Below are 10,108 nucleotides of genomic sequence, written 5' to 3'. Positions count from 1 at the left end.
GCAACTCTTGCACTACAATCATAGAACTGAGTAGTTGCAACAGAGATCATATGGTCTACAAAGCGCTACCTGGCCCTTTAAGAAAAAGTGTGCTGACTTCTCATCTAAAAGGGGTGGAATTTATGGATTAGGGAAATGAATACGTCATTCTAGGTAGAGAAAGAGAAAGGATGTAGTATAACTAAGATACTTAGAAAATTTTCCCAAAATAGCAGGTGGATCCAAAGCTCTGAGTCTTATCTCTAGACATTTTTCCTTTACAGACAGATTCTATACAAGAGGTGGAGTTGGACAAGGGAAGGGTAATCTGGGATATTTATTAGGTGTAGTTACCTTTGCCTAATGAATGTCTTTTGTTACTCATTCCTTAGAGGCAGGAGTGTGTGCTTCAGTCAGTTTGAGCTCCACCCAGGGAGAACAGATCATGAATACTTCTAATGCACACGGTAAAAATCCTGAGTTGAATAATTTTACTTTCAAAAAAATTTACTGACCTTTTAATTAAGGTCCCCAGAGTCTCCCACGAATTGGCTGTCACCTGAAACTACTGTGTGCTTGGAATTTCTGTGAGCACACAAGACACCCTGCTCAGATCCTGATTCCTATAAAGCAGGTACTGTTGTCCTCATGGATCCCATAGACCTTGTGCACATCCCTGGGATGGTGGAAGATTTCTTTCCATGAACCCAACTCTTGTAAAAATCAAGAGAACTGTTTAATTTTTTTTTTCTTTCCTAAAGAAAGTAAGCGCCAGGAAATCTTCCATAGTAACAGTGCTTGTCATTCACCCACTGTCACATGACTTAGAAAGCACTTTTCTGGGCATTTTTGTTCTGAGCCTTAAAATAACCATGACCTACATAATGTGATCATAATGAAAAATGGTTGAACTATGTAAAAATCCAATTCTGATATACCGATGAAATAAACTTTTGAGACCAATGAACTCATCCCCTTTTTGTCTTTATTTTACCGAGGAGGAAATTGAGCCTTAGCCAGAAAGGCAGCCAATCAATGGCAACATCAAGGTGTGGGCTTTCCATTTACAATGATGATGATGGCCAAGGCTACCTTATCACTGGCCTAATTAGATATGACATAATTGTCACATTTAATGTGTGTGGGCTATAGGTGGGATGATTCTATAATTTGTTATCCAAACTGAAATACCTTGGTTCATCAGGCATAAAGCAACCTTGTTCCCTGAGACCTATGACCATGCTATAAGCAGGGTAGGCAGATGCCATAGGCCATGTGACTCATTCTGATAATCAGGTATGTCCCTAAAACTTGCTTCTATTTCCTGACTTGTGTTGCCATTCCTGTGGACCCAGCACCTTGGAATGTCAGCATTTGATGAATGCTGGCCCTGTAGAGATTCAGTTCAGATTTCTCCCACTAATCTCTGGTTTTAGGCCATATTCAGAGCCTGAGCAATAAACAAATCAGGATGTAACAGGGAAATATGAACGTGTCATGTATTCTTGCATTGACTCAACCCTTCTTTATCTCCAAGGCATTAAATTTCCTGTCTTTAGGTCAGAGAGAATGTTTTCAAACAGGAGTGGGAGACGATTCTAGACAAACCAGTGTGGGATATCCATGCAGAAGAGGAAAGAGAATGAAACTTCTTTTCTTGACACTGTGTGTGCATTTTGTTGTGTTTTGTTTTTAGAAAGTAGTAACAGCTAATCAATGTTTATTGATTATCAGAGGTGTCCTCATCTCTGAGCTATGTGGGAGAACGAAGAAACATGACAGGGAAAGAAAGAGAAAATATAATTATTTCACTATTGCTTATAATAAAGAGCTAACTAAGGAAATAGCTAAGAAAATTAAAAAATACTACACTTATAAAGGCAACTGTTAGAACACAAATACAGGCTTTCTTAATATTGGAATAATTACATGTAAAAGCTATAGTGTCTTAGTTCAGGTTGCTATAACAGAATACCACAGACTGAGTGGTTTATAAACAGCAGTAATTTATATCTTACAGATCTGAAAGCCGGAAGTCTGAGATCAGAGTGACAGCATGGTCAGCCTCTGCTGAGGACTGTCTTCAGGGTTGCAGACTGCAGACTTCTCATTGTATCCTCACATGGTGGAAAGAGCAAGATAACTTTCTGCGGTCTCCTTTAGAAGAACACTAATTTCATTCATGATGCCTCCTCTCTCATGACCTAATTATCTTCCAAAGTCCCCACCTCCTAATACCATCACACTGGGGTATGGATTTCAACATGTAACTTTTGGTGGGGAGTGGGAGAGGAGTACAAGCATTCAGTCCATAATAACTACATAATAAAAATATTTAAAAAATGAAATTATTAAACAGGAACACAGTACAAATAATATGATAGGACAAAGACCAAATATATTTTATATGTTAATAAAAGTAAATATTCATTAAGATAATTTTCAGAATGGATCACAAAGCAAATCCAACTTTGTTATATGTAAGAAATACATGTAAACAAAGATATTCACAAAGTTTAAGAGTTAAATACACACCAGAGAAATACAAATGCAAAGAAAGCAGTGACGGATATCTTAATATCACACAACATAGAATTCAAGACAAATATCATTAAATAGGGAAGGAAGGGTACCTTTTTACATAAAGGATATAAATCAGTTTAAGATAATATTTATAAATAACTATATGCCAAATAATATAGCATCCACCTTCATAAAGCAGAAATTAGACAGAAGAAATAAGCAGAAATACGAATAGAAAGGGAATTTAATTCACTTTTCTCTGTCTATTTTATGCCAAGAGGACAATAATAAACAGGGATATAGAATGCCTAAGTAATTAATGAGACAGACGTGATTAATCCATGTAACTGAAGAACACAGAATAAGTTTTTTGTTTTTTCAAAAGCTGTGAAAACATTCATAGAAAGTGATCATATATTAACTCATAAAGAAATATTTAATAAATTCCAAAAAATAGACATAGTATGGATAACATTGTGTAACTATAATTCATTAAAACTAAACACTGATAACAAAAGAGAAAGCAAAAACTCCTTCCATCTGGAAATTATAAAGGATCTCTTAATGCTCAGAGAGGAAATACAAATAAAAATGGAAGATTGTTTTAGGAAAAAACAGTAATGCAAGTACTCTTTATCAGAATTTGTGGGATAATATGGGTTGAGTTGTGTACCCAAATCATATGTTGAAGTCCTAACCCTCATTATCTCAAACTGTAATCTTATTTGGAGATAAGGTCTTTACAGAGGTAATCGAGTTAAAATGAAGTCATTAGAAGGGGTGTCCTCACCAAATATGACTGGTATCCTCATAAAAAAGGGGAAATTTGGACACAGATACACACATATAGGGAGAACACTATGTGAAGAGAAGGCAAGATCAGGGTGATGCTTCTACAAGCCAAGGACTGCCAAAGATTGCCAGCAAACCACCAGAAGCTGGGGAAGAGGCATGGGGCAGATTCTCCTTCACAGCCCTCAGAGGGAACCAACCCTAATGATGCCTTGACACTGTACTTCCAGCTTTCAGAAAACTGCGAGTCTTGAACTGGGTTTAAGATACCCAGTTTGTGGTACTTTGTTATGGCAGCATGAGAAAACCACTACACAGATAAAGCAGTGTACAGAGAAAAAAATCATAGCCTTAAATAGCAAAAGAAAGAATAAAATGAATCAAGCATTATGCTCAAAAAGTTAGAAACAGCATACCAAAATATATAGAAGGACTCTAGAAGGAAAGTATCAGTAGTGATAAAAGTGGGAATTAACAAATTAGAAAACAGATTAAAAGTACTAATAAATAAATTCCAGCTCTAGTTCTTTGAACCAATGAAATACATAAATCATTAGATAACATAATTAAGAAATAATGGTCAAAATGTAAACACAAATGAGAACTTGAAAGGGCGAAATAACAAAGAAATAGAGAAATTTTTTTTTTTGTCTTCAAGCATCTGTTTAACAAAGCACATCTTGCACCGCCCTTAATCCATTTAACCCTGAGTTGACACAGCACGTTTCAGAGAGCACGGGGTTGGGGGTGAGGTTATAGATTAACAGCATCCCAAGGCAGAAGAATTTTTCTTAGTACAGAACAAAATGGAGTCTCCTATGTCTACTTCTTTCTACACAGACACAGTAACAATCTGATCTCTCTTTCTTTTCCCCACATTTCCCCCTTTTCTTTTCGACAAAACTGCCATTGTCATCATGGCCCGTTCTTGATGGTCGCTGTCTCTTCGGAGCTGTTGGGTGCACTTCCAAGACAGGGCGGCCTGGCAGAGGCGCTACTCACTTCCCAGATGGGGCGGCCGGGCAGAGGCGCTCCTCACCTCCCAGACGGGGTGGCAGCCAGACAGAGGCGCTCCTCACATCCCAGACGAAGGGTGGCCAGGTAGAGGCGCTCCCCGCCTCCCAGATGAAGGGTGGCCAGGCAGAGGCGCCCCTCTCTTCCCATGCAGGGCGGCAGGGCAGAGACGCCCCTCACCTCTCAGATGGGGTGGCAGCTGGGCTGAGGCGCTCCTCACTTCCCAGATGGGGTGGTGGCGGGGCAGAGACGCCCCTCACCTCCCAGATGGCGCGGCCGGGCAGAGGCGCTCCTCTCCTCCCAGACGGGGCTTCCGGGCAGAGGCGCTCCTCACTTCCCAGATGGGGCGGCCGGGCAGAGGCGTTCCTCTCTTCCCATTTGGGGCAACGGGGTAGAGGCGCTCCTCACTTCCTCCCAGACGGGGCGGCCGAGCAGAGGCGCTCCTCGCTTCCCAAACGGGGCGGCCGGGCAGAGGCGCTCCTCACACCCCAGACGGGGCAGCCGGGCAGAGGCGTTCCTCACTTCCCAGACGGGGCGGCCAGGCAGAGGGGCTCCTCACATCCCAGATGATAGGCGGCCAGGCAGAGACCCTCCTCACTTCCTAGATGGGGTGGCGGCTGGGCAGAGGCGCTACTCACTTCCCAGATGGGGGCGGCCAGGCAGAGGCGCTCCTCACTTCCCATTCGGGGCAGCCGGGCAGAGGTGCTCCTCACTTCCCAGATGGGGCGGCCAGGCAGAGGGGCTCCTCACATCCCAGATGATGATGGGCGGCCAGGCAGAGATGCTCCTCACTTCCTGGCCGGGGTGGCGGCCGGGCAGAGACGCTCCTCACTTCCCATTCGGGGCAGCCGGGCAGAGGGGCTCCTCACATCCCAGACGATGGGCGGCCAGGCAGAGACGTTCCTCACTTCCTAGATGGGGTGGCGGGCGGGCAGAGGCTGTAATCTTAGCACTTTGGGAGGCCAAGGCAGGCGGCTGGGAGGTGGAGGTTGTAGCGAGCCGAGATCACGCCACTGCACTCCAGCCTGGGCAACATTGAGCATTGAGTGAGCGAGACTCCGTCTGCAATCCCAGCACCTCGGGAGGCCATGGCGGGCAGATCACCTGAGGCCAGGAGCTGGAGACCAGCCTGGTCAACAGGGTGAAACCCTGTCTCCACCAAAAATACAAAAACCAGTCAGGAGTGGCAGCGCATGCCTGGCATCCCAGGCACAGGCAGGAGAATCACCAGAGTCCGAGGCAGGAAGGTTGCAGCGAGCAGAGATCATGGCAGTACAGTCCAGGCTCCGCAAGAGAGGGAGACCTTAGAAAGAGGGAGACAGAGAGCAAGAGGGAGAGGAGGAGGGGGAGGGGGAGGGGGAGGGGGAGAAAATTTTTAAAAAATTAAAATAAACCACTTGGTTCTACTTTAAGCAGATAAATGTAAAAATCTAGATGACATAGATATTTTTCTAGAAAAATATAATCTATCAATACTAACTTTAGAAGAGGTAAATTACCTAAATAAACAAAATTGAAAAAAATAATCAAAGAGCTACTTTCCAAAAAAGCACCAGGTATTGATGATGTCATACTTTATTTTTTGTTGCTATAACTGAATACCTGAGGCCGGGCAATTGAGTAAGAAAACAGGTTTATTTCTTACTGTTCTGGAGTCTGGGAAGTCCAAGACTGGGAGGCTACTCCTGATCAGCTTCTGATGAGGGCCTCATGCTGTGTCATAACAGGGCAGAAGGCATTGCAGGATGAGAGGGACACAAAAGCCAAACTGGCTTTTGTAACAGACCCACCCTCATTATGACTAATGCGTTCCAGAAATAATCCATTAATTCATTAACCCATTAATCCATGAGTAGATTAATCTATTTCTGAGGGCAGAGCCCTCATGACCCACTGGCCTCTTAAAGACCCCATCACTTAGTAGTGTTACACTGGGTCATGAATTTTAACATGAGTTTTGAAGGGAACAAGGAAAAACTCCATAAAGCTTTCAAAGAGCAGATAGTTCTAGCTTTGATTTAAAAAAAGACACTTAATAAAATGGATATAGATGGTTACTTTCTTAACATGATAAAATATATCTCTCTCAGCCTAAAAGCCAAAATCGTCATTACTCAGGAATTTGTAACATTCTAATTAGAAACAAGGGCAAGGCAAAAATGCTCACTGTTGTTGAAAATTGTACTGGAGGAATTATCCAATTTAAACAGATGAGAAAAAGAAATTGACAGTAAAAAAATCGAACAGCAGGGAGTAAAACTACTACTATTTGCAGATCTTATGACTGTGTATCTGGAAAACTCAAGAGAATTAACTAAAAAAAATTACAAACAATAAGATAATTTAGTAAGGTGGCAGGATTTAAAACTATAGAAATCAATACTTTTATGTATGCAAATAGCAGCCGGTTAGAAAATATAATGGGAGGTCACCCTATTACAGTGGCCATGCATATATAAAGACCTAACACCTAGGAATAAACTTAATAAAAAATGTGCACTACATATAGGAACAAAAAATTTAAGTCCCATAAGATGCAAAAGAGGACTTCAAAAAATGGAATAACTATGCACTTGGAGAGACAAACTCATAATAATAAAATGTCAGTTCTTACTAACTTGTTTTTACAATTAATATAATTATAATAGTATACACAGGGTTTTGTTTTTAATTAGATAAGCTTATCCAAAGTTCACTTGAAAAAATAAACTAGAATGGTAAGAAGGATACTTGCAAATAAAAGAAATGGCTAGCCTAACCAGGTATAAAAACATACTATAAAGCCTCAATAACTAAAGCAAGGTAGTTGTGGTGAATGAATAGCGCTGCCCATGAAACAAAATAGAAAATCCAGAAATAGGTCCAACTACTATGGTAATTCGGAATATGATAAAGAAGATAACCCAAATTATAGGACAGTTCAGTAAATGATGTTGGAATAACTGCATAGCCATTTGGAAACATTTCAAAAGTGTCAAACATTTAAATGCGAAATACAAAACCATAAAAGTATACAATGGAAATATGGCAGAATATTTAGTGTTCATACATAGGAAGACAGCATTTTTAAGATAGCAGTTCTTCCCAACTGGATCTATGAATTCAATGCAATTCCAATCAAAATCTCAGCAAGTTATTTTGTAGTTAGGAAGAAACTGATTGTAATGTGAGTTTTTATATGGAAAGGCAAAGACCCAGAATAGTCAACACAACATTAAAGAGAAGAAAAACATCAGATGACTGACGTTACCCAACTTAAAGACTTACTATAAAGCTACAGTGATTAAGCAATGTGGTGAAAGAACAGACAAATAGATCAATGGGACAGAATAGACAGCCCAGAAACAGACCCACATACATTTGGTAAATTGATCGTTGAGCAAAAGTAATACAATGTAGGAAAGGCATTGCAATACATATGAGCAAAGGCAATGCAATGGAGAAAATAGTCTTTTCAACAAGTGGTTCTGGAACAACTGGACGTCACATGCAAAGAAATGAATCTAGACACAGACCTTACATCTTTCACACACAAAAAAACCCCTCAAAACTGATCACAGACCTAAATGTAAAGTACAAAACTATAAAATTCCTGGAAGATAACAAGAGATGACCTGGGTTTTGGCAATGACTTTTTAGACGTCATACCAAAGGCATGATCCATGAAAGAAGGAATTGACAAGCTGGACCAATAAAATCTAAAATTTTACCTATGCAAAAATCATGATCAAGAGAATAAATAGACAAGCCAGACTGAGATTAAATATTTGCAAAATATGTATCAGATAAAAAACTGTTATAAGATATGTAAAAACCTCTCAACCTCAACAGTAAGAAAACAAACAATCCAATTTAAAAATGGGCCACATGTCTTAGGAAACACCCCTTCAGAGAAGATATATAGATGGCAAATAAGCTTATAAAAAATGTTTCACATCATATGTTATCAGGGAATGAAAATTAAAACAACAGTGAGATACCACTACATATCTATTAGAATGGCCAAAATCCAGATCACAGACAACACCAAATGCTGACATGTGGAGGCATCATGCTACATAACTTCAAACTATACCACAGGGCTACATAAGCAAAACAGCATAGTATTGGTACAAAAACACACACCTAGACCAAGGCAGCACAATAGCGGGCCCAGAAATAAGGCTGCATACCTACAACCATCTGATCTTTGACAAAGCTGACAAAAACAAGCAATGGGGAAAGGACTCCCTATTCAATGAAAGGGGCTGGGATAAATGGCTAGCCATATGCAGAAGATTGAAACTGGACTCCTCTCTTCACACCCTACACAAAAATCAACGAAAGACAGATTAAAGACTTAAATGTAAAACCCAAAACTATAAAAACCCTGGAAGACAATCTAGACAACACCATTCAGGACATAGGAACAGGCAAAGATTTTATGACAAGGATGCCAAAAGGAATTGCAATGAAGCAAAAATGGACAAATAGGATCTAATTAAAGTAAAGAGCTTCTGCACATCAAAATAAACTATCAACAGAGTGAACAGGTAACCTACAGAATGAGAGAAAATTTTTGCAAACTATGCATCTGACAAAGGTCTACTATCTAGCACCTATAAGAAACTTAAATTTACAAGAAAAAACCAAACAACTCCATTAAAAAGGGGGCAAAAGACATGAACAGACATTTCTCAAAAGGAGACATACATGTGGCCAAGAAGTATATGAAAAAAAAGCTCAACATCACTGATCATTACAGAAATGCAAATCAAAACCACAATGAGATACCATCTTACACCGGTCAGAATGGTATTAATAAGTCAAAAAATAACAGATGCGGCTGGGCACGGTGGCTCACGCCTGTAATCCCAACACTTTGGGAGGCTGAGGCGGGTGGATTATGAGGTCAGGAGATGGAAACTATCCTGGCCAATATGGTGAAACCCCATCTCTACTAAAAATACAAAAATTAGCCAGGAGTGGTGGCGTGTGCCTATGGTCCTAGCTACTAATGAGGCTTGAACTAATGAGAATCGCTTGAACCTGGGAGGCAGATGTTGCAGTGAGCCAAGATTACACCACTGCACTCCAGCCTGGGTGACAGAGCGAGACTCCGTCTCATAAAAAAAAACAAAACAAACAAACAAACAAAACCCCCAAAAAACAAACAAAAAACAAAACAGATGCTAGCAAGGTTCTGGAGAAAAAGGAAAGCTTATACACTGTTGGTGGGAGTGTAAATTAGTTCAACCATTTTGGAAGATAGTGTGCAATTCCTCAAAGACCTAAAGACAGAAATATCATTAAACTCAGAAATTCTGTTCCTGGGTATATACCTAAAGTAATATAAATCGTTCTATGATAAAGACTTATACATGTGTATGTTCATTGCAGCACTGTTCACAATAGCAAAGACATGAAATCAACCTAAATGACCATCAATATTAGACTAGATAAGGAAAATGTGGTACATGTATACCATGGAATACTCTGCACCGTAGAAAAGAACAAGATAATGTCTTTTACAGGAACACAGATGAAGCTGGAAGCCGTTATCCTTAGCAAACTAATGCAGGAACAGAAAACCAAATACTGCATGTTCTCACTAATAAATGGGAGCTAAGTGATGAGAACACATGGACACATAAAAAGGAACAACAGACACTGGGCCTATCAGATGGCGGAGGGTAGGAGGAGGGAGAGGATGAGGAAAAACAATTAATGGATACTAGGCATAATACCCGGGTGATGAAATAATCTGTAAACAAATCCCTGTGATCCAAGTTTACCTATATAACAGACCTGCACATCTACC

At 40.4% G+C, this 10,108-nt stretch overlaps 1 long non-coding RNA gene across 1 annotated transcript; it reads left to right on the top strand.

The window, feature by feature from the left end:
• The first annotated feature begins 369 nt into the window (after positions 1-369).
• Positions 370-2,327, top strand: LOC124903694 (uncharacterized). Its single transcript, XR_007065076.1, has 2 exons — positions 370-446; positions 2,000-2,327. It is a non-coding gene; the product is annotated as an uncharacterized LOC124903694 (long non-coding RNA).
• Positions 2,328-10,108: the final 7,781 nt, after the last annotated feature.

Source organism: Homo sapiens, chromosome 16, assembly GCF_000001405.40.
Source record: "Homo sapiens chromosome 16, GRCh38.p14 Primary Assembly".
NCBI lineage: Eukaryota > Metazoa > Chordata > Mammalia > Primates > Hominidae > Homo > Homo sapiens.
Note: the sequence above shows the minus strand (reverse complement) of the source record. Positions and strands in the feature narration are given on the sequence as shown.